Source organism: Homo sapiens, chromosome 17 (assembly GCF_000001405.40).
Source record: "Homo sapiens chromosome 17, GRCh38.p14 Primary Assembly".
Lineage (NCBI taxonomy): Eukaryota > Metazoa > Chordata > Mammalia > Primates > Hominidae > Homo > Homo sapiens.
Genome location: NC_000017.11, coordinates 40,859,638 through 40,885,308, shown reverse-complemented (window position 1 = coordinate 40,885,308; position 25,671 = coordinate 40,859,638). Strand labels below are relative to the sequence as shown.

Genomic DNA, 25,671 nt, shown 5'->3' with positions numbered 1-25,671 from the left:
CATGTCAGCAGAGGAGGAGTTTCTTGCCTGTGGACTTCATAAAAGGCTAGCTCAACACCCTCCATGAGACACACTCTGCCCCAACCATCCTGAAGCTACAGGTGCTCCCTCCTGGAATCTCCAATGGATTTCAGTCGCAGAAGCTTCCACAGAAGCCTGAGCTCCTCCTTGCAGGCCCCTGTAGTCAGTACAGTGGGCATGCAGCGCCTCGGGACGACACCCAGCGTTTATGGGGGTGCTGGAGGCCGGGGCATCCGCATCTCCAACTCCAGACACACGGTGAACTATGGGAGCGATCTCACAGGCGGCGGGGACCTGTTTGTTGGCAATGAGAAAATGGCCATGCAGAACCTAAATGACCGTCTAGCGAGCTACCTAGAAAAGGTGCGGACCCTGGAGCAGTCCAACTCCAAACTTGAAGTGCAAATCAAGCAGTGGTACGAAACCAACGCCCCGAGGGCTGGTCGCGACTACAGTGCATATTACAGACAAATTGAAGAGCTGCGAAGTCAGGTGAGAGATGATGCTTGTGTTTCCTACTCTGTGTTTAGCTTCAAGATAAATCAAGAGGTTATCTATGTTAGGTAGGTCCAAATGGACTTTGTAAAGCAAATTAGGCTAAAATGTTACATCTATAAAAATTCTTTCATCTACCTTTAGTGCTGGAGTACCTGACTGTACAACAGGATGACCTTAAATCATGCTATTTTTAATGTTTAACACAATTACATACAAAATATGAACATTTTATCCTCCGGAATAAAATGAATCTTTGTCACAGCTTATCACATCAGGGCTAAATGTATAGTGAACAATCTTTCTGAAAAGAGCTAAAAATTAATTACGTGATAAATCTCTCTTAGTTTTTCACCTAGTCCTTATCAAGTTTTGAAACCCCAGTAAATTCAAAGACTTTTCTCCTTTTATTTAAGTAAATGTTATAATATGACTATTAGAATACTGTACTGCAGATTTAAATAGCAAAGTGATTCTGGGTGGAAACAGTGTGGCAGGAATATGGGTCTTAATGATGCCTGGATTTTTAAGTGCCCTGTTTAATAACATGACCATCAGCATCAAGCAGTTCAGAAACTACTTCTACAGTAATAAAATGTTCTATTGCCCCCAATTCATGTTTATTACAATCATATCACAACCTCCTCCTATGTCATCAAAAAAAGGGTGGAGCTCTGTATTTTATCAGTTTCATGGAATAAAAGCAGAAGACTTTGCTCCTAATTGAAAATTTCAGATATGACACAGAGCACTTGCTTCAAATTAAAGTTCTTATCTAATTAAGAAAAGTGTTCACTGTAATTTGTGTTAAGATTCATACTCCTTTAGAGCAAAGCGCATTTACTTACCAGCAAGTCTGTTTTTCTTGAGTTGTACTAAACATCAGGGCAATTTGATTCGGACTCCATGGGAAGTTACTTTGGAATTTTAGAAACTATGGGCATGTGAAGCAATGGCATTTAAATAGCCCTTCCGGAATAAAGTTCATCCTTCGCAAGCTCTCACTAAAAATGTTCGAACCACACCTGTCTCGTGTTTCTGACTCTAGTTTGGTTCATCTGAAATACACAGGCACAGGCCATCCGTCCCATTGAGCTGGACAGTCCCAACCATAGGAAGCAGCCCTCTCCAAAACTGGGTCCATTGAAAGAGAAATGTCATTGTAACATCTTCTGCAAGTAGATTTTTCATCTATATGCCTCCATCATGCATTTCGTTCTTTCATGCATCATGTTCTTTCATTCAGCCAATACTGAATGAACACTAACTAGGTGCTGGGCACCATGCTGGGGACTGAGGAATATTATGGTGGACACAATATGATTTATGAGGATACAGGGATGGACAGAGGGACCAGCACACAGAGGGATAATGAGAGCACAGGCAGATCATCCAGTTCAGTTTTGAGAGCATCTGTGAAGGCTCCTATGAAGCAATGTTGTCGAACCTGAGACATGAGGGAGGAATGGGAGTTCACCAGACCACAGGGGCTAAAAGAAATGTCCTAAGTAGAAACATCAAAGGCAAGGCACTCAATAAGGTGTGATGACTCAAGTTGAGTTAAATTATCCTTCTGTAAAATCACAAGAAAGTAGACCAAACCCTGGGGCATCTAGAGTTGCATTTTATGACTCTGTTATGTTAAATAACTATGTCATTATTTTTTCTATATATTTTCATGTAGAAATACTTGAAATGAACATCATTTTTGACATAATAGTCACTGTAGCTGGGGATAAACTAAATCCTTGTAAACTCCTATCCAGTTGAAAATGTCATTCTTGGCCGGGCACGGTGGCTCACGCCTGTAATCCCAGCACTTTGGGAGGCCGAGGCAGGCAGATCACCTGAGGTCAGAACTTCAAGACCAGCCTGGCCAACATGGCAAAATGCTGTCTCTACTAAAAATGCAAAAATTAGCCGGGCATGGTGGCGGATGCCTGTAACCCCAGCTACTCGGGAGGCTGAGGCAGGATAATTGCTTGAACCTGGGAGGCAGAGGTTACAGTGAGCCGAGATCGTACCATTGCACTCCAGTCTGGGCAACAGAGCAAGATTCTGTCTCAATAAATAAATAAATAAATAAATAAATAAATAAATAAAAAAGAAAATGTCATTCTTTCTCATGTATTTTCCAGATTAAGGATGCTCAACTGCAAAATGCTCGGTGTGTCCTGCAAATTGATAATGCTAAACTGGCTGCTGAGGACTTCAGACTGAAGTAGGTTCCCTAATACGTGGCAAAAGTTTCTGAAAAAGAATTCCTTTAGTAGTCCTTCCAGATACTCAGCTTTCCATATCATTGTTGATAAAGGAAGCACGGTTCAATGTCCAGAATCCTGAAGCCTAAAGGAGGTTAGAAGCTACATGTATGAAGCTAACCCAGCACTCAGGGATGGCCTTCTCTTTCTTGATCCCCCGGCATGTAACTAAACACCTCCAGTAACTACTATTCTCCTTGGTTATTACTGGTTGCTAAATTTTTTTTTAGTAACCTGGTATCTAAACCTAATTCTGCCCTTTGGAGTAATAACAAAGTAATTTACAATTCTCCTTCTCCCTAAGTGCCTTTCTGTTATCTAAAGAGAGTCTTGTGTCTACCCTTGGTGATTCTCCAAGTAATTCTCCACGTTCATTCAAGTGCCTGCAAGTGTATGACCCAAGTTCCAGGGGTGACTCTTGATGATTTCTGGCTTGCCAGTGTTTTACAGGATGGTCTGGCCAACCAAAGAACCAGGACCAATCTATAATAATTAGCTGGGCGTGATGCCGTATGTCTGTAATCCCAGCTACTCCGGAGGCTGAGGCAGGAGAATCGCTTGAACCTGGGAGGCGGAGGTTTCAGTGAGCTGAGATCGTGCCATTGCACTGCAACCTGGGCAACAGACTGAGACCTTGTCTCAAAAAAAAAAAGGAAGAAAGAAAGAAAAGAAAAAGAAAGTAAAAATTGTGTTCACTTTCTTTGTAGTCATCACACCACATGTGACCAGACCTGTTCCTTGCAAACAGCTTCCACACTAAGGCCTCTTCATCCTGAATTTGTACAATGCATTAACACCAAAAAGCCCTTTGTGGTTAGAAGGGTAGCCTTTTAATGCTCCAAGGGATTAACAAGAAGGAAATAGGAAATCAAATCCAAAGATGAAAGCAGTAAAGGTGCATTACTTCCAATTTTACCTAGCACTGAGTGTCACATTGCAGTGTCATTTTTTAAAGTTGGATATTTTAGGAAACTGGGCAGGGCATGCATGATGGCTAACGCCTGTAATCCCAGCACTTTGAGAGGCTGAGGCAGGAGGCTCACTTGAGTCCTGGAGTTTGAGAACAGCTTGGGCAACGTGGCAAAACCACATCTCTATACAAAAATACAAAAAAAATTAGCTGGGCATGGTGGCATACATCTGCTGTCCCAGCTACTTGGGAGGCTGAGGTGAGAGGATTGCTTGAGCCCCAAAGGTTGAGGCTGCAGTGAGCCATGATCACACCATTGTACTCCAGCCTGAGTGACAGAGTGGGACCCTGTCTCAAATACACACACACACACACACACACACACACACACACAGTGTGTATGTAAGATTGTAGAGGAGGATGTAGAGCTGTTTGAGATAATTCACTTTGGATGTCTCTGTTCACAAAGTAATAAAAATAAATCGATCATGTACATTCATTAAGTAAAACTAACCATTATTTAATATCAATAATAAGAACCCTTTGCCAACACAATAATTAACACAATTTAATTTCTTATAAGATAAATTCTAGAATTTAGAAGTGTTCAAAATTATTTCAGATTGCCTTTTTACCAGTCACCCCAAATTATAGAGATTATATTATTGAGCACATTTTCTGACTCCTAGGTTCTTATGTAAATTTCATGATTGTGTAAAGGCAGACATTATAAAGTATTGAAATTGATCTCCTCATAAGCCACATTTAAAAACCTATCCCATTATATTAGATTCTCTCCTTATAATGGCTTCAGAAGGACCAGTTATCTCTGTACACTAATTAATTCACAGGTATGAGACTGAGAGAGGAATACGTCTAACAGTGGAAGCTGATCTCCAAGGCCTGAATAAGGTCTTTGATGACCTAACCCTACATAAAACAGATTTGGAGATTCAAATTGAAGAACTGAATAAAGACCTAGCTCTCCTCAAAAAGGAGCATCAGGAGGTGAGAAAATATTCAGAAGTGGTATTGGAAACAATGGAATGGTTCTATATAATACTAATAATAGGAGGAGCGGGAGAAACAGGAGAAGGGGGAAGAGTTGGTGGTGATAGTGACAGAGATGATGACGATGACAATAATGATACAAGCCCTACCTTCTTTTCATAATGTTGTTGTAAGTTAAATGACTTAGAGCAGCACCTGGACCACAATAAGCCCAACACAAGTTATTATTTTATATCTTTTTTACTTATTCCCAATGAAAGAGGTCATGAGACTCCTTATGTCTTTTCTGCCCAGCCTTATCTGAGAATGTGCTTCAGACTAAAATCAATCAGAAATTTCACTTTCATAGGAAGTCGATGGCCTACACAAGCATCTGGGCAACACTGTCAATGTGGAGGTTGATGCTGCTCCAGGCCTGAACCTTGGCGTCATCATGAATGAAATGAGGCAGAAGTATGAAGTCATGGCCCAGAAGAACCTTCAAGAGGCCAAAGAACAGTTTGAGAGACAGGTAACCACACAATTCTAAAGGGTGAGCAAACGTGTAGATGCTTTCCTCCAGAAACAGATAACTCATTTTCTTTTTCATTTGTTCATTCTTCCTTTCTCTTTCTGTCTTTTCTTTCTTATTTCCACCCCTCAACTATTTTTTTTTCACTCTTGGCACTGTAGACTGCAGTTCTGCAGCAACAGGTCACAGTGAATACTGAAGAATTAAAAGGAACTGAGGTTCAACTAACGGAGCTGAGACGCACCTCCCAGAGCCTTGAGATAGAACTCCAGTCCCATCTCAGCATGGTAAAGCATATCTAACTTCTCTTTCTCAATCTAGTATGTGTTTACCAAGGTCCTCTGTTAGGAACTATAGAAATGCAAAGACCTACAAGAAATAACCCTTCCCCTTGCAGAACTGGCAGGGAAACAGGCCGAACAACTGATTATAATTAAAGGACAGAGAGAAATCGAGGAAAGGGCAATGTACTGCATGAATGCAGAGGAAAGAGTAAATCTGGAAGATTTCACAGGGAAAGTGGCATTTAAACCAGATCTTCTTGTAACTTTTAAGTTCAGGAGTACATGTGCAGATTTATGATGTAGTTAAACTTGTGTCATGGGGATTTGTTGTACAGGTTATTTCATCACTCAGGTATTAAACCTAATACCCATTGGTTATTTTTCCTGATCCTCTCCCTCCTCCTACCCTCCACCCTCTGTTAGGCCCCCATGTCTGCTATTCCCCTGTATGTGTCCATTATACCAGATCTCAAAATCTAAGATAAAATTTTAAGATGGAGAATGGACTAGAGACATTCCAGGCCAAGCAAATCAGCAAGCCCATGACAAATTATGTTGTGGTAAGCAGAATCCCTCAAACCACAGTGGCCTGCAGCCATGATACTACATCCACCGTGACATTTCCTTTCCAAGGGCAAGGCTAAAGGGGTAGGCCCTACCTAGGACATGCCAGTGTCCTGGCAGAAAGAAAAGAGCAATGGTTGGTCCACTTGATAGCTCTTAAAGCTTCTCCTTAGAAAAGGCATTTGTCCTTTGGGAGGCCAAGGCAGGAGGATCATTTGAGGTCAGGAGGTTGAGACCAGCTGGCCAATATGGTGAAACCCCATCTCTACTAAAGATACAAAAATAAGCTGGGCATGGTGGTGTGTGCCTGTAATCCCAGCTACTTGGGAGGTTGAGGCAGGAGAATCGCTTGAACCCAGGAGGCAGAGGTTGCAGTGAGCTGCGATCACATTACTGCACTCCAGCCTGGGCGACAGAGCAAGACTCCGTCCCAAAAAAAAAAAGAAAAAGAAAAGGCATTTGTCAGTTTGACCTGCATTTTATTAACCAAAGAGAGTCACATGACCCAGCCAGGTGTCAATGGATTAAAGGAATCTAATCCTGCAATTGAGAAATGCCACAGATCACATGGCCAGGTCTGATGAAGGAGTGAGAGGTATAACATCTTCACACAGTGGGGAAGCAAGTACTGAGAACAATGCTACAATGCGCCGCACTGAAAGAACAGTAGGTGCAAAGCTACAAGCAAAGAAAAACCCCAAGAGCTAATGATCCTAGCTGGCTGGCTGAGGTTGCCTAGTTGGGAAGAGTGGGAGATGGAGCTAGAAATATACACCATGCCCACAGTGATGAACTGCAGAGACCCTTCTCAAAGGAAATTAAAATTAACCCATCTCTTGAATCAAGTCCTCACATAAGAAGTGCCCTATTTTTCTTGTGCTCATAGAAAGAGTCTTTGGAGCACACTCTAGAGGAGACCAAGGCCCGTTACAGCAGCCAGTTAGCCAACCTCCAGTCGCTGTTGAGCTCTCTGGAGGCCCAACTGATGCAGATTCGGAGTAACATGGAACGCCAGAACAACGAATACCATATCCTTCTTGACATAAAGACTCGACTTGAACAGGAAATTGCTACTTACCGCCGCCTTCTGGAAGGAGAAGACGTAAAGTAAGGCTCTTAGAATCAAGGAATAGGTGTCAATATCTGTATGCACTTCTATTTTAATGTCCCTGTCACTCATTACCCAGCACCAATGCAATCCCTAGGACAGAAGCAATTATACTCACACATGCCTCACCACGAACAACAAAACGAAAATATACCAAAAAATACACACACGCCCAAAATATCAAGTACAGCCTTGAGATCATGTGGTAGGACTGAGTTCTACCACATGATCATTTGGAGATAATTCTCCAAATGATATAGATTATGCTGATATTAATTTTCATCATTAATATATAATTGAAGGCATAATAACCTTTTGGAAATTCTAATTGAGAGCTCATGAATTAGACAATAAGCTGCTGAGGTCCACGGGAGCCAGTCTGAGAATCATAAGTGTGGCAGCAGCAACTGTCTTCAGATACCATACCTAAGAATATCAACAAGAGAACACAAGATTTAAACTTCCATTGTAATTTTGTTATTTTAATTAGAGGAACTTCTTAGCATATATTAAACTGGTCAGTTTTAAATCTATGTATTTTTCAAGTTAAAAAGTAAAATGCTCAAGTTTGCAATAAAAGCAATGTAAAAGGGAAAGATATATGAAAGCAATAACACATTCACTTGGACTTTGAAATATAAAAGACAGGAGTGCATTCCATTTTCAAAACAGCAATAATGCTTTTTTCTGTTTCTTTTTTCTTCTTTTCATTAAAAAAAAAAACAGAACTACAGAATATCAGTTAAGCACCCTGGAAGAGAGAGGTAAGTTCTAAATTTTTGCACATTTTCTATGACATTCAGCTGCTTTCTATTAACTACATGCCACTGATAAAAAGTAAAGTGAGGCTGTTTTAGTCTGTTTTCTGCTGCTGTGACAGAATACCTGAGACTGGATAATTTACAAACAATAGACGTTTACTTGGCTCACAGTTCTGGAGGCCAGAAAGTCCAATATCAAGGTGCCGGCATCTTGTAAGGGCCTTCTTGCTGTGTCATCCCATGGCAGAAAGTAGAAGTGCAAAAGAGTGTCCATGAGAACCAGAGAGCAAGAGGAGGCTAATCTTTCTTTTAGAACTAGCCCACTCTCACAATAACTAACCCATTATCATGGTAACCACATTAATCCATCCATGAGAGAAGAGCCCTCATCATCTAATCACCTTTTACTAGGCCGCACCTCCCAACACTGTTACATTGGGGATTAAGTTTTCCACACATGAACTCCAGGGAACACATTCAAACCATAGCAAAGGCCAATTCTCAAGGGAGCAGATATGACACCAGGGATTCTAAAAATCTTGTACATGGCATAAAGAAACCCTCCACATGGGAACTTGGGCACACTCCTCAGAATGGGGTGATTTTCTTGGCCTGTGCTATTGCTATCTTGAAACATCCTGACATCCTGAAAAGGAAAAACAAGACAAAATTTGAATTCCACTTAAATTCAAGATAATTTATTTCTTGAATTTTTAAGAGTAGGACATTTGTAAATTTGGGGAGAAGCACATTTTCTGCATCTATTTATAAAATGGACTTAAGATTTTTTGAGAAAGAGGATGGGTTTAACATATTTTTCTAAAAGAAGGAAATAAGTAAAAAGAATAATAATTTAAAGTTGAATATTATAAATCAGCAGAGTCATGTGCCTGAATTAACATTTAATGTTTAATATGAATTCAGATATAAAGAAAACCAGGAAGATTAAGACAGTCGTGCAAGAAGTAGTGGATGGCAAGGTCGTGTCATCTGAAGTCAAAGAGGTGGAAGAAAATATCTAAATAGCTACCAGAAGGAGATGCTGCTGAGGTTTTGAAAGAAATTTGGCTATAATCTTATCTTTGCTCCCTGCAAGAAATCAGCCATAAGAAAGCACTATTAATACTCTGCAGTGATTAGAAGGGGTGGGGTGGCGGGAATCCTATTTATCAGACTCTGTAATTGAATATAAATGTTTTACTCAGAGGAGCTGCAAATTGCCTGCAAAAATGAAATCCAGTGAGCACTAGAATATTTAAAACATCATTACTGCCATCTTTATCATGAAGCACATCAATTACAAGCTGTAGACCACCTAATATCAATTTGTAGGTAATGTTCCTGAAAATTGCAATACATTTCAATTATACTAAACCTCACAAAGTAGAGGAATCCATGTAAATTGCAAATAAACCACTTTCTAATTTTTTCCTGTTTCTGAATTGTAAAACCCCCTTTGGGAGTCCCTGGTTTCTTATTGAGCCAATTTCTGGGTTAATCTTATTGATTTTTCAGCATCAGTACAACTCTACAACCTTTGAGCTATATCTGCTTTTTCCCATTGCTTCCACTGCCTTTTAAAACTCAACACAGCTTTTTGAATAATTTGAGAGTCAAATTCAATCACAAATGCTGAGCAGAATAAGAGTGAAGTACACTATACTTAAAATGGAAATAGATTAAAAACAACATTACTGAAACCCTTCTCAAGGCAAAATGTGTCTCCTTTTGATAATAAGCTGCATATACTATCAGGTCCTCTCTTTCTTTATATGGTGAACATATATTTTTAATGAAATGTCTCTCATTTTTTTAATAACAGATTTATTGAGATATAATTCACACACCATGAAATTCACCCTTACAAAACGTACAATTCAGTGGTCTTCAGTATGCTTACAATGTTTTGCAACCATCACCACTATCTAGTTTTAGAACACTTCATCACCCCAAAAGGAAATCTTGTACCTATTAGTAGTCACCGCCTTTTCCCTTCCTCCCAGCCCCTAACAACCACTAATCTACTTCCTGTCTCTACGGATTTGCCTACTCTGGACATTTCATATAAATAGGTTAATACGATGTGTCCTTTTATACACAAATGTTCATAGCAGCATTACTCATAAAAGCCCCAAAGCGAAACACCTCAAGTGTCCATCAACCGATGAATGGATAAACAAAATGTAATATATCCACACAATAGAATCTTATTCGTCAATAAAAAGGAATGAAGTACTGATACATGCTATAACAGAGATGAACTTCGAAAACATGCTAAGTGAAAGAAGCCAAATCCAAAAACAATAAAAACACATATTGTATCCTCACCCTTTTTGCATTTTAGTGAGCAATCATTGCATATGAATGTTTATGGGAAAAATCAATGTGTGCTAAATCATTGTATTCCAGTAAATAGATTGGACTTAAAACTTGATACAGAAGTTGCAAATAAGTGGGATTGAGTTTGATTATTATATAGAAAATAATTACATGATTCATTTAAGAATAATAATATCCACCATTTATTGAGCACTTACTATGAGCCTGTGTGCCAAACATTTCATGCATTTCTCATTTAATTCTCACAATAATCCTGTGAGGTAGAAGCTATTAGGTTGAATCATATGAACTTGCCAATATATGATAATTTCTAAGAGTTGGGAATTTTTGAGGATGTGAATGGTACCACTTTGAATTCCTAAGATGTAATATAATATCTAACACATAGCAGGCACTTGATTCATTATTTTAAATTGAAAGAATAAAGATTTTTTTAAAGCTTTCCAATATATGATAATTTCTGACTTTCAGAAATAGCAATTTTATATGCTATTATATAGCATATATAATAAGGTTCAACCTTATTATGTTACCCCCACTTTACATATGAGGATAAATGAGGACTCATATGAAGACATGAGATAAAGACTTTCCCAAAGTCAAGCAGTTACCAAGTAGTAGAGCGAGACTGAACCTCAGCGCTGTTTCTCTAAAACCAGGACACCCTCATAAGCAACTAATTACATAACAAAGCAATACATGATTCACAGTTGAAATAGGCACTTGCCTATCCGCAGTTATTTTGTTGTTTTCTAATTGTCATTTTCATCAGCCAGACACAACAGCCAATTGTGGCAAATGTCCAGCTTTGCTGGCTAACATCACACATGACTTGATTCAGTACAACTTTTGTCAGAAAAGGTATTCTCACCTATTCTCATTGCCTTCTTTTCCAAAGTGAAAAGATTTCACTCATTTTTTTCTTAATTTTCTTCCAAGTCACGCTAGCTAGTAAGTTGCATTTAAAGATGTTAAGAATATTTAAAAGTGAATTCTTTTTCACCTACTGAGACACATTCCAGAATAGTCTGAAACTTTGACATGCAAATACCAGACTGTGAATCTGATTAATAAGAAACCTATGCAGATGGGTTTGTAACTGATTAGGCCTGACCACTGTTATATGGCAATGATGACACTGTGTTAAAAGAGGTAGGATTGTTATTCTTAATTTAGGATGGTCCTCTTTTAACTACCTGTTAAAAGAAGTAGAATTGTTATTTTTAGATCAGAAAAATGAAGATTTTTTCTTCCTCTTGCTTCTTTGGTCTGTCTCTAGTTTCTTCCAAGCAATCTTTCAAAGAAGTGAGTGAGAGCTACATACATGTGGACCAGATGGTGGAGTTCTACCTCCAGTTCTGCCAGCAGTTACTGTGTGAAAGTGAAGCATTAATCTTTGTATCTATCTATATTTCTGATATGAGCTAAGAACTAGAATGACATAATCCTATTTCTGACAGGTAAACAGATCCAGAGAGAAGTCTTTATCACACATTAGAATTATCATCAATGTATTTTTTCATTTTATATGAAATTGTCAGTGCAGAAGTGAAGCTATCAAACTCAGAGAGAGCCCCTAGAGGTGAGGTTAGGATGGAAATAACTATTTTTTCTGAGCTCTGGAGATTATTTCTACCCAGAGTTCTGAATCATCTAAAAAGGAGAATGACATGGAGTGATACAAAATCAAAACATGGCCAGTGACCTCCTCAGACACTCTGTTCTCATCCACATGCATCAGGATCAGCCTCAGGTACCTGATTAGACCCCCAAGTAACAATTCCAACTTAAAGCATTAGTAGTGATTTTTATTTTTGAATTCTCTTTCAAACATCTCTGTTTTCTCTCCCCTAGGCTCATTTCCAAGATTCCTCTCATCAGGGTATTATTTTATCATCTTCCTGTCTCCTACCACTTTCAAAATTCTCCCCTGCTTTCAAGAACCATTGATCTCTGGAGCCCAGAAGTCAATCTCACTCATACCCCTTAGGGTCCTTGTTTAACCCTCATCTCAAAAGCACAATACATAAAATGTAGGCAACCCAAAATTCTCTCAGTCACTCACAGGATTTTATAATGTTATCCAAAGTGAAAGATGTTACAGATCAAGGGATCAGCGAGTTGCAGAAAATGACAGGTCTGTCTTACGGGAAAAAACTCAGGTAGAAAACCCTGCAAAGACCAGGACAGAAACCAACCTGACATGAAAAGATGAGGGTATGATTTACTCAATAAAAATCTAAAGACTTGTAAAAACCACATAACTAATTTTCTCTATTTTGAACATTTCCTAAACTCTACAAAAATGGAAGATATAATTCTTTTGAACAGTTTGCCCTGGCTATAATCATTTTCCTCTCTGCCTCAACTTATGCAATCACTCTGCCAACAAGCCCAAGATTGTTTATTGTTTTTTACATCACCACTGCCTTATACATTAATGTGGCTGTCAAAGAAAATTATTTTCACTTCTAAAACCTCTAAAGCAGAGTCTTGATTATTTAACTTAGCCTCCCACTTAAAAAAAAAAAAGCCACTGAAGAAGAAATATTTCCCTTTTCAACTTCTGAAGTTGCTCCCCATTCATAACTGAATTCAGAATAAATATTGGTCAAAGCATACCAGTAAATTAGGGCACAGTCATTTTCAAATGAAATGAATTTCAAATGACACATTCAAACACATTAAGACTTAACTTCTTTCAAATGAAATCATTCAAGGAGTGCAGTGATAAAGTTCAGCGAAACACTAGGCTAGGACTCAGGATAAAAAATAAATTAGATGTAGTACCTACCTAACAAGCTTAGTCTAGGATAATATGTTATATGTATAGAAACATAAACAAATAATATATAAACATAATTTTTAGAGATTGAGCAATATTATTTAAATTTTACCATAGGCATTAGAGTTGGAAAGTGTACCTTTCAGCACAAAATCAATTCCAAGTTCAAAAATTCAACTTAATCATATTCCCGTATTATGTGATCAAATCACTGAGGTACAATTTTGAACTTGGCACATTTCTTTTGACATTTTATTTGCTTCTGTTTTCATTTCTATGGCAGTAAAATGGAATCTCTCTGTCTTGGGGGACACTTGGGAGTGAATAATAGTTAACAACCATAACATCAAGTTCTTGTGTGGGGAGTGCAAGTTTAACTTGTGCTTTATAAGATCTCTGGAGATGTAGTTACAGGTCAAAGCTAAAATGAAAACCGCATTTGCCTGTGTGTTTACAGAATTTCATGTGTCATGTTGTTGCTTATAAGCCATGAAAAGTCATTCTCTAGGTCTCAGCCCATACACTGAGAAATTCAAGGAGAAAGCTTAAAAGAAAAGAAAAAAAAAAGAGCACCTCCTGTTAGATGTGCAGGGCAGAAGCCTAGTGTCAGGTGTCATAGCTAGGGGATGTCAGAGTATCCTCTGCCCTTTTTATTGTCACCGCCAGCAGCAAGGTTGTGGTATCTATAGAAGGCACTGCAGGCCCGAATCCTATCTCTGCCTCCTCCCAGCTGCATGGGCGTAAATAAATCACTTAACATCTGGACTCTCAGATTGCTCATCTGTAAAATAGGATAAAAGTACCACCTGAAGCTGGGCGCCTTGAGGTGGCTCATGCCCGTAATCCCAGTGCTTTGGGAGGCCAAGGCAGAAGGATCACTTGAGGCCTAAAGTTCAAGACCAGCTTACGCGATATAACAAGACTCCATCTCTACAAAAAAATTAAAAAAAAAAAAATAGCCAGTGTTGTGGTGCCCACCTGTAGTCCTAGCTACTTGGGAGGCTGAGGCAGGAGGATTGCTTAAGCTCAGGAGTTCAAGGTTTCAGAGAGCTATGATCACACCACTGCACTCCAGCCGGAGTGAGGGCAACCAAGCAAGACCTTGTTTCAAACAAACAAACAAATAAAACCAGTACCACTTTAAGAGCTTGCCGTGAAGGTTAAAAAATAATGTCTGTAATTCAGCTGGCCCAGTGTCCAAAAAGTAGTAAGTACATAATAACTGATAATTCAAACAAGACCAGCTCAGTCAAAATGCTTATAATATAGATTTAAGGAATCCTTGGTAAAAACCTCCATATGGGGCTAAAATCACTGGCATTTCCACTGACCAGATTTTCATTCTCTCAAGAAATTAAACAAATGGATCATGGCTTCTCTCAAGCTGAGACTGCCTTAGGTTGCTACATTCTTTCCACATCTATAGCAAATGTGTGATTTCTGCAAATCTCTTGCTTAAACCCCCTTTATTTAGAAATCCCACTTGCTTGCTCTTTGTGACGAGTTTAGGTTGGGGAGAAATATGTCCCTTCACATTTGTCCCTTATGTAATAATATAAAAGGAAGTTGTAATTGGATTTCACCACGGGTTCATCATTTGTGTCCCTGGGAAAGTGGCTTTTTTTTTTTTTTTTAATAAAAAGTCAAAACAGTCCTTCCATTTGCCAGAATTGATCCCAGGTATTCCTTATGGAGGTTTGCCATGGGCTTCAGGTGTGACCCCTCGGCATCTGTCCCCTAATCCCCAGTGGGCACTGCTAGTTCTGGCTCAGGACTCTTCACAATGGAAGAACCTCAGCTTCGGGGAGGCTGTAATCAGGGAGATAATATCTGGATATGCAGGTGGACAGGAGGCAGCAGTAAACTACGGGGAATCTAGGCTACAGGTCTGGAATTCCTCAGGAGTCAGTCTGTACTCTACAAGGCAAAACAAGTGCTAACCATTGAGACTAACTCCAATGAGATAAAGGCCAGCGAAAGAAGCATTCTCAGGAGAAAGGGCTCCCAGGGAAGGTGGAGCAGCAGGGGCTGCAGAAGATCCCTCTGCAGGGAGCACCTGCACACTGGCACCAAGCAAAGACATCTGAGTGCATGTTTCTGGGTGTGTGTGTGTGCATGCATGTGTACATTAGAATGAGAGTAACATCTGAATGTGTCTACATTGTGAATCCACGAATACTTAAATTATTATACTTTGTAGCTTGCCTTTATATTGATACACTCTTTTTTGATTTTGGAAAAATTTCCTCATACATAACACACATTAATGGCCCAGCAGCTTGATTTATCAAGAGAGAAATCAATAAGCATATATTGAATGCTGACTTTGTCCAAGACACTGGGCAAATGGACTAGACATTGAAGAATGGAGGTAACAGCAGACCTAGTACTTGAATACTTTCATGTTGGCTTGGTTGAAATTCTTGATTTAATTTTCAAAAAGACCACATCATTTTGACATAATTCAAGTTGTGTAACAGTTACAGGCTTACTTCACATATTATCTCTGCTATTGAAGTGTCCAAAAAAATCAGGTTATTGTTTTAGTAAGAGAAACAAAAAGTATTGCATATGCTTATGGAAAAACCTTAAACAATAGCCACATATTTGCTAATTTTTATGGTTGATTGTTTGTATTAAGTAAGTAACATCTCAATGATCTCACAGGTATCCAATAATTTTGCTGAGAAATTAATCTTTACCAGATAGATTCAATCTCCACTTTAAAATGTATAGAAAGCCTCCTTTTTGGGAATTAAACATTGGGCACTCATGGACATATAGAATGCCAACAATAGACACTGGGAATTACTGTGGGGAGCAAAGGTTAAACAACTATTGGGTACTATGCTTACTACCTGGGTGATGAGATGAGTCGTACCCCAAACCTCAGCATCATGAAATATACACACGTAACAAACCTGCACATGTACCTCCTGAATCTAAAATTAAAGTTGAAATTTTTTAAAAAAAATCCAGTAGTGGTAAATAAATAAAAATAAAAATCTTCCTTTTTATGAAAGGTATGTATTATTAAATCAAATAAGAATTCAATTTTATTTTAGAAATCTAGAATACTTGTGATATTTTTAAAACTTTTCCTTAGAATAAAATAAAACGCAGAATCCAAATATACCAAATTGAAAAGGAGTTTTAGTGGCCATCTATAAGCAAACAGAGGTCCCTGATGGAGAAATGAAGGCCCTGTTTCCCACGAGGTAGGAAATGTATCATTACAATGATTTTAATGTATTTTATTTCAATAAATCCATTCTAGTCAAAATACATATATGTCTATAGCACACACAGTCAGTGTATACCTTATTAATAAAATTCAGTATAAACATCTTTGCAAAAAAACTGTTATTTACACCCAGAAATTTTATTTCCTATCATCAAATACAGAGCAAACTGAATTTAGAAATCTGAATCCAACAAAGGATTTCGAAGAATCCACAATCCATGTTCTGTACCCAATTATTAAAGTTCAAGTGATAGATAAGTATATAATCTTAAGAGAAAAGCAGATTATAAAATCTTATATTGAATCAATTATGTTCAAAAATGTATATAAAATACTCATATATACATACATCTTCTTTATGTTTTCTGCATCTTCTAAATTTCCTACTATAAATACATAGAGAGCTATATTTAAAAAAAAACTATAGAACTATTTTGCAATGAGACATGTAGAGAATTGGGCCATCATCTCAAAGAAAACATGTAAAAGAAAAATCCTTATTCCTTCTTATCCAATCAAAATGCTCACAATTTAAATTCCTAAGGGAATTCCACCACCCTGGAATTGTACTACTCGGTTTCCAGGTATCTACAACTCTCTCTGAAAGCAGGCTTCTTTCAAGTTAATGCATTTCCTGTAAGAACGTTAGTTCTCATGTTCAATATATAAGCCATATCAATTTCAAAGATAAATAATATACCAAACAAGAAAGTATAAGAACTTTATGTCTTAAAAATTAAAGATACTGGATATAATTCCTTGAAGCACGCTTTGCAAAGTTTTCACAACAAAGTTTAAAATATAACATTTAATTTATTCTATATTGTAAAATTTATCCTTTTTCATCATAGCAGTCAACTGAAATGGTTCACTAGCCTCTTAAACTTGGGGTTTTAATCATTTCTTAATTTGAACTGTGTTTCCACTTTCTCCTTATTGATAATGGCAACAAAATCTGAAGTGTTTACACAATCCATTCAACTAGTCAACACATTTATTGAGCAACCATTACAGGCAATATCTGTTGAAGGAATAAACATAGTAAATGCTGAGTGTAGAGCAGTGAGCAATCAGACAAGGTAAAACTGCTAAAACAACTATAATAAACTCTACTATAAACAACTGTACTCAAAAATAGTACTTTTCCAAGTTGAAGAATAAGAGGGAAAAGAAACATGCAACATCCTAAAGCCAAGGTTTTAAAATCCTTGAAAATGCAAATTCTAGTATCCATCTGGAAAATATATTTATTCTCCACCTTTCACCAGTGCATTTCACAGCTGCTTCTGAAGCTGTATTCCACTAAAAGGTATACTTGATCATGACTGGATTTTACATTGGATTGGTTTTTCCAAAGGAAACAAATGGTTTACACTGGATTTTCCAAAGGAAACAAACAGAAAAGATCAGGGAAGAACTTAAAAAAGCATAAGGTTTAGGAAGAAGTATTTAACGTATCCATTCAGCAATCGCTCATTATCTTCCTACTGTGAACAAGACGCTAGGCAGTGCTGGGAATACAGGCAACAGACTAATTTGGAGAAGAAAAATTCCTTATGACAAGCAGACTCTACTCCACCCAGCTTTCTTTTTCATATAACAAATATTTAATGGAAATGATTATTCGATTATTTCTGTATCAATGAATTTTCATTATACATAAATCATTCACTTGTTGAGCTGGCCAAAAACCTGGGGGGAGGATCCAATTTTGAGTGGAGAAAGTGAACTTTTCAACTGCGACACCCATCTTGCAGCCTATATAAGTTTAGCTTTCTGGCTTGCTGGCACAACTTCCTCTCCAGTTGTGGCCACCTTCCCCAGGCCATGGATCTCTCCAACAACACCATGTCACTCTCAGTGCGCACCCCCGGACTGTCCCGGCGGCTCTCCTCGCAGAGTGTGATAGGCAGACCCAGGGGCATGTCTGCTTCCAGTGTTGGAAGTGGTTATGGGGGAAGTGCCTTTGGCTTTGGAGCCAGCTGTGGGGGAGGCTTTTCTGCTGCTTCCATGTTTGGTTCTAGTTCCGGCTTTGGGGGTGGCTCCGGAAGTTCCATGGCAGGAGGACTGGGTGCTGGTTATGGGAGAGCCCTGGGTGGAGGTAGCTTTGGAGGGCTGGGGATGGGATTTGGGGGCAGCCCAGGAGGTGGCTCTCTAGGTATTCTCTCGGGCAATGATGGAGGCCTTCTTTCTGGATCAGAAAAAGAAACTATGCAAAATCTTAATGATAGATTAGCTTCCTACCTGGATAAGGTGCGAGCTCTAGAAGAGGCTAATACTGAGCTAGAAAATAAAATTCGAGAATGGTATGAAACACGAGGAACTGGGACTGCAGATGCTTCACAGAGCGATTACAGCAAATATTATCCACTGATTGAAGACCTCAGGAATAAGGTAAGATCTCTTTTGGAGGCGCTTTGGGAATTTTTTTTTTCCTTTTTACCATTACAATGTTTTACAGTGATAATCACCTACAACTTTGATATTTTCCAATTTAGCTGTACTTGCAGCAATTTTCTCATCCCAGGTTGTTTCACTCCACTTTATCATTTACTAAGAAATGATTGTATTTCCATTATCTTTCTGTAGGAAATCTGCATTTCTTTACTTCTCAATATTATTTTATACAGATATTGTCTTAGAAAAATGAAACTGTCTTAAACTCTAAATAAAACAGCATTTAATATCACCATTTTCACCTTTGTGTCAAAAATATATTTGTATAATACTAGTCTTTTAGGGCTTCAATCTTGTGTGTGTCCCTCTCTTTTGCCAGATCATTTCAGCCAGCATTGGAAATGCCCAGCTCCTCTTGCAGATTGACAATGCGAGACTAGCTGCTGAGGACTTCAGGATGAAGTGAGTCGAATAAACTGAAGATCATGGGCGTGTCCCACCATGTCTTCTGTCCTACTGTCCTGCCTTCATTGATATAAAATCTTCTGAAGTTCACATACTCCATATATTTACTGTTTTGGTAAATTCACATAGGGTGTTCTAGAAAGTAATTAGAATCTAATGCAATTCAGATTAAATGTCCTTAAATTATAAGTTACTTAAACCCAGGGCTATGGATCACGATATTTGTAGTGTGCTATTGACTCAACTCATGATGTGACTGACACCATAATCCTACCAGTGTCCTAAACCTCAATTTTCTTTTTTTGTTTTTTGTTTTTTGTTTTTGAGATGGAGTCTCGCTCTGTCACCCAGGCTGGAGTGCAGTGACGCGATCTCGGCTCACTGCAACCCCTGCCTCCCAGGTTCAAGTGATTCTCCTGCCTCAGCCTCCCGAGTAGCTGGGATTACAGGCGGCTGCCACCGTGCCCAGCTAATTATTGTATTTTTAGTAGAGACGGGGTTTCACTATCTTGGCCAGGCTGGTCTCAAACTCCTGACCTCATGATCCACCCGCCTCTAAACCTCAATTTTCAATGTATCAACCATTGTTTTCCTGATGACACATACAATGGAAAGATTAACCATGTACTAATTTTTATATTCCTTCCTCCTTTTCCATGCTCAACTCTCCCAGATATAGGTAAGAAATACTAATTTCCTTTTTGCTTCACAAAATTTCTACACAGGAAGTTGCAATGGCCATGGTTCTGAACCTGTAAAATCTTAGTCAAAGCCACTAAAGAAGTATCAGTGTTTTAAGTTAAATCATGAAGAACGTTAAGCAAAAAGAGTAACTTATTTTCAACGGCTTTTAGAAATTCCACTTAGAGAGGGGCTGCTGCTATTTACAGCCACGGCAGCCAGCCAAAGGGAAAATTATTCCCTGGGATGCTGTGGTATTGGGATTCATCGCTGGTAGGAAAGTATTGCCTTATAATTTATTCACTTTTCTTCTCCTCCCCAACTGAACAGTAAACAATGGTGGGAAAAAAGGAAAGGAAAAACACAACAGCAAAAACTGCATCATACACTACAATGCTGCCATTATTAAGTAGGTGCACAGATTTAAGCAAGAAATAGCCCTGAAGATCAGTGGCCTTGTTCAAATGGTTGTGTTGATTCCCTCAACTGCTTTGCACTTGGTTTTCAGGTATGAGAATGAACTGGCCCTGCGCCAGGGCGTAGAGGCCGACATCAATGGCCTGCGCCGGGTGCTGGACGAGCTGACCCTGACCAGGACCGACCTGGAGATGCAGATCGAGAGCCTGAACGAGGAGCTGGCCTACATGAAGAAGAACCACGAGGATGTGAGTCAGACAGGGCAGCCTCACTCAGCTACTTTTTTTTTTCTCCCAGACCCAAAAATTACAATTTCAAATTTAGAAATCTGGAGTCAGGACAAGTATGGAGAATACATTGTCTCCCTGTTAAAATGGCCATTTGTTTTAGATTTCTGTGTGATGTGTGTGGTATGTGTGTGTGTGATGTGTGTGTGTTGGTAGTAGTGATGGTGGTTCCTGCTAAGGCTCAACAAATTTGAGGCACTTTCTGATTTTGTCATTTTCATTATAAGGCAATGACAATAGGAATGCTAACAGTCCTAATTCAGTGATTTTAAAAAGACTGAGTATTTTAAAAGTTAAAACAAAAGTCTACCAATAATATATAATGTTTTATATGTCAGAGAAACTGGTTATACTTAGCATAATGCACACCAGAAAACTCTGAGGTGCCATGGTGCATATTGGAGGCTAGGTAGGGAAGGGATGCTGGCAATAGGAAGTTTCTACTAGATTTTCGATGATTGTGGCACAAACAGCGTGCAAGCCCAGGTACTGTCTGCAGCCCTCGGTTTGGCAGCTGTAGGTGAAAACCCCAGTGAGTGTACGCCAGGCCTCCTTTCACGTGAAGGTCGTGGTCCCTCAAGAAGCAGAGCCAACTTACCCATTAGGCACAGCAGGCACTGCTCCCAGGGTCTGTGGTAATTTCAGGGACCCATGAATATGTCTTAAGTTCTTGTAATATCAGAAGAAAAATATGAATTTTGAGGTTAAAAAAGTTTTAATGTATTACATTAATATATTTGTCTTTATACCAACAGTCATAAGATAGAATTTTTAAGTGTGTGTGTGTGTGTGTGTGTGTGTGTGTGTGTGTGTAGGAAGGGGCCCAAGAGGACAAAAGTATCCAGGGCCCACGAAAGTCACAATGGACCCCTGTGCCCCTCTCTCTCACATGCTGTCCCCAGGAGCTCCAAAGCTTCCGGGTGGGCGGCCCAGGCGAGGTCAGCGTAGAAATGGACGCTGCCCCCGGAGTGGACCTCACCAGGCTCCTCAATGATATGCGGGCGCAGTATGAAACCATCGCTGAGCAGAATCGGAAGGACGCTGAAGCCTGGTTCATTGAAAAGGTAACACAAACAACAAAGGCTTTGATACATTCACAGAAAGGCCTGCGAACGAGCTCAGCGCTCGAGCCCCCTGGCTGTCTTTGCTGTTGCAGAGCGGGGAGCTCCGTAAGGAGATTAGCACCAACACCGAGCAGCTTCAGTCCAGCAAGAGCGAGGTCACCGACCTGCGTCGCGCCTTTCAGAACCTGGAGATCGAGCTACAGTCCCAGCTCGCCATGGTAGGCTCGTGCGCAAACAGACGTAGCATCCTTTGGACTTCCAAAGAAAATGCTGCATCCAAATTACATTAGCCGTTGGCTACCCTCCTCTTTTCGGTCCCCTCCATCGTTATTTCTATGCCATTTCCCTCCCACGTGCAGAAGAAATCCCTGGAGGACTCCTTGGCCGAAGCCGAGGGCGATTACTGCGCGCAGCTGTCCCAGGTGCAGCAGCTCATCAGCAACCTGGAGGCACAGCTGCTCCAGGTGCGCGCGGACGCAGAGCGCCAGAACGTGGACCACCAGCGGCTGCTGAATGTCAAGGCCCGCCTGGAGCTGGAGATTGAGACCTACCGCCGCCTGCTGGACGGGGAGGCCCAAGGGTGAGCAGACAACGGAGGCTGTAAACACCTTCAGGGGCTGACCAAGAGTGGGCAGCAGAAATAGAAGGAATGGGGTTTTAGTTGACAGAAAAGCAAACAAACAAACACAAGTCTAGTAAAGATATGCCTGGGATTTACTAAATGCTCTACACTTTGCAAAGTGTTTTCACCCATTATCTTACTTGATAATTCATAAAATGCTGCAAAGAACAAAGGCACCACGGTCAGAAACAGTTTGTAAATGAGTACTCCCTGTACTATAAAAGTCACTTACTCAATTTCTGATATCAAAGACCTGATGATAAGAAGGACACATAGTAGCCACCTGAACCACCTACTCTAACAAGCTTTCCAAAAGTGATCAGAGTCTGCACTAGTTGGAAGAACTCAGGCCTACAAATTGGGAAATCTAATTTCTCAGACCAGATCTTCCATTAAAAGCCAGGTTGTTTCACTTTTTGAGGTCATCTCCTTTGTTTTCTTACAGTGATGGTTTGGAGGAAAGTTTATTTGTGACAGACTCCAAATCACAAGCACAGTCAACTGATTCCTCTAAAGGTATGCAGAAACCCTAGAATCACTTAGAATAAGTCGGAATCACATTTATTAATGCAAAACCTGTAAGACCTCATTGACTACTGCATTATTATTAATTTTAATTTAAAGCATATTTATATTCTGAGCCAAGGAAAAACATTTATGCATTCCTGCACAAAATGAGTAGTCTATACCATATTAAAACTTTTGGGGGCCTGGGCATGGTGGCTCATGCCTGTAACCTCATAGCTTCGGGAACCTGAGGTGGGAGGATCGCTTGAGGCCAGGAGTTCGTGACCCACCTGGGCAAATAGCGAGACCCCATCTCTACAAAAAACTTAAGAAAAAAAATAGCTGGGTGTGGTGGTGTATACCTGTGATCTCGGCTACTCTGGAGGCTGAGGCAGGAGGACCGCTTGAGCCCGGGAGTTAGAGGTTATAGTGAGCTATGATCATGCCACTGCATTCCTACCTGGGCAACAGAGCCAGACCCTGTCTTTAAGAAAATTAAAATTAAAATTAAAAAATAAAAAAAATGGCAAAGCAGAAGGGAAAAAACCTACTCTGCTGCAAGGTATTATGATCACCATAACCACCTTTGAAATGTTTTCTTAAAAAAAGTTTTCATATATGTACAAGGCAACACTGAATACATTTCATTGTCATTGGCTAAAACACATTTTTGAGAAGTAAAATTTACTTTTGAAAGTTTAATTAGATGGATTGTATCAACCAATGCTTAATTTAGAAGCCTACATTAAACAACCAGTGTTGGATTAATATTTGAAACACTAACTCTTGCCCCCTTATTCCATTTTTATCTTTAGACCCAACCAAAACCCGAAAAATCAAGACAGTTGTGCAGGAGATGGTGAATGGTGAGGTGGTCTCATCTCAAGTTCAGGAAATTGAAGAACTAATGTAAAATTTCACAAGATCTGCCCCATGATTGGTTCCTTAGGAACAAGAAATTTACAAGTAGAAATTATTCCTTTCAGAGTAACATGCTGTATTACTTCAATCCCTATTTTTGTCTGTTCCATTTTCTTTGGATTCCCTATTCACATTGAATCCTTTTTGCCCTTCTGAAACAATATTCAGTCACAAGTCATTTTGGTCATGTTGGTCTTTGTAACAAATCAAAATTACCTTATATCCTTCTGGACCTGGAGTAGTCTTTTAACGAACTTTCTTCTGGTAACCCGGAATATTTTTTAATCATAGAGCTTTAATCAAGTAGTATTGTTTTAATAGAGTTAATTGTAATAAAAGATGAATGGTAATAATGTGAAATGTATGCCTTGATTCCAACAAGAATGTCAAGAGCATAGAGAGAAGTTTTTGAAATACTACTAATAAAATAGAGGCTGGGAGTAATGACTCACACCTATAATCCCAGCACTTTGGGAGGCTGAGAGGCAAGATGATTGCTTGAGGCCCGGAGTTCAAGACCAGCCTGGACAACATAGAGAGACCCCCATCTCTACACAACATTAATAATGATAATAATGATAATGTAGATAAAACTGGGATGAAGATGTCAGGGTTTGAGGATTAAGCTAAAAGAAGATTCTTTTAGAAGTTCTGGCCTTTTTATGTAAGCTCATCAAGGTTGTAGCAAAATTATATTGTCTACTACAGCAGTTGAGAGTTGTCCTGTTCATTTTCTAGCACCATCATTCATGCAGTCAAGAAACGCTGAGCCCCTACAGTGTGCCAGGTTGGAGGCTCAGTGATGAATATGATATGGTCCTTGCCTTGAGGAGCTCATGGTTGAGGGCAGAGATAAACACCTACCAAGAATGTTGATACAGTGAGATCTGTTGAATAGAAGTTCAAAGGGCTGGGCACCATGGCTCACGCCCGTAATCCCAGCACTTTGGGAGGCTGAGGCGGGCAGATCATGAGCTCAAGAGATCAAGACCATCCTGGCCAACATGGTGAAACCCCATCTTAACTAAAAATACAAAAATTAGCCGGGTGCAGTTGCAGGTGGCTGTAATCCCAGCTACTCAGGAGGCTGAGGCAGGCGAATCACTTGAACCCGGGAGGCGAAGGTTGCAGTGAGCCAAGATTGCACCACTGCACTCCAGCATGGCAATAGAGTGAGACTCTGTCTCAAAAAAAAAAAAAGCAAAAAAAAGAAAACAAACAGAACTTCGAAGGACACATGGAAGAAGTGAACAATTTTCCAGGAGGGGCAATGAAATGCTACATAAAGAAATCATCCAGGTAGACGAGGGAGAAAGGCAACAGGGCAAATACATGTGAAAAGACAGAGGGTGTGAACAAACATGGTTCTGCTCTCCTTTCTCCTAGCTGGCAGCAGTGAGGCCCAGGGTGGGGTCCCCACTGGGGCAGGTCAGACCCACAAGTCAGTAACAAAAATCATGTTCTGCATTAGGGAAAAAGGCAGCCAAAGTCTCAGCCTGAGTAGATGGTGGTTCAACATGGGTTGCCAAATTCAAAACCCTAAAAGGAAAATGGGCAAAATTCAATGATTAAGAGCCTGGCCTCTAACATCACACTGGGTTCAATTTCCGGCTCTGCTACTTAATAACAAGTAATTTAACCTCTGTGTTCCTCAGTTTCTTAAAGTGGAAATGATAGCAATGACTGCACCTGCTTCATGGCACGGGTTTTGTGAAGATGAAATGAGGTCGTGTACCTAAAGCACTAGGAACCTGGAAACTATTGGCACCTAGAAAGTACTCAATATTTGTGTCTTATTATTATTTACTGTATGAAACCAAAGTGGGATGAAGAAACAAGGAGACATGGTGAATAAGGAGTGTCAAAGAAGCAGAAGGGAGAGGGAGGAGTTGTGTTAGACAAGAGGAATTCCAGAGCTGAGTCCAAAGGCCAATGGCTAGTCAGCCAACTTAAGCTGATTTGCTTCAGTATGCAGCTTTTCCTTTTAATATCATTTATATGGCCAGATGCAGTGG

The 25,671-nt window shown here is 39.7% G+C and overlaps 2 protein-coding genes and 1 long non-coding RNA gene across 3 annotated transcripts in view; 2 read left to right on the top strand and 1 right to left on the bottom strand.

Annotated features, from left to right (window-relative positions):
* LOC105371777 (uncharacterized) overlaps positions 1-25,671 on the bottom strand; it is a 70,694-nt gene that overhangs the window by 36,183 nt on the left and 8,840 nt on the right. The window lies entirely within an intron of this gene.
* On the top strand, positions 67-9,420 carry KRT20 (keratin 20). Its single transcript, NM_019010.3, has 8 exons — positions 67-513; positions 2,655-2,737; positions 4,539-4,695; positions 5,048-5,209; positions 5,371-5,496; positions 6,944-7,164; positions 7,892-7,929; positions 8,851-9,420. Exons 1-8 carry the CDS (start codon positions 124-126, stop codon positions 8,946-8,948), a joined length of 1,275 nt encoding a protein of 424 aa, NP_061883.1. The 5' UTR covers positions 67-123; the 3' UTR covers positions 8,949-9,420.
* On the top strand, positions 18,086-24,006 carry KRT12 (keratin 12). Its single transcript, NM_000223.4, has 8 exons — positions 18,086-18,689; positions 19,072-19,154; positions 20,347-20,503; positions 21,445-21,606; positions 21,699-21,824; positions 21,966-22,186; positions 22,674-22,744; positions 23,551-24,006. The coding sequence occupies exons 1-8, from the start codon at positions 18,123-18,125 to the stop codon at positions 23,646-23,648; spliced, it is 1,485 nt and encodes a 494-aa protein (NP_000214.1). The 5' UTR covers positions 18,086-18,122; the 3' UTR covers positions 23,649-24,006.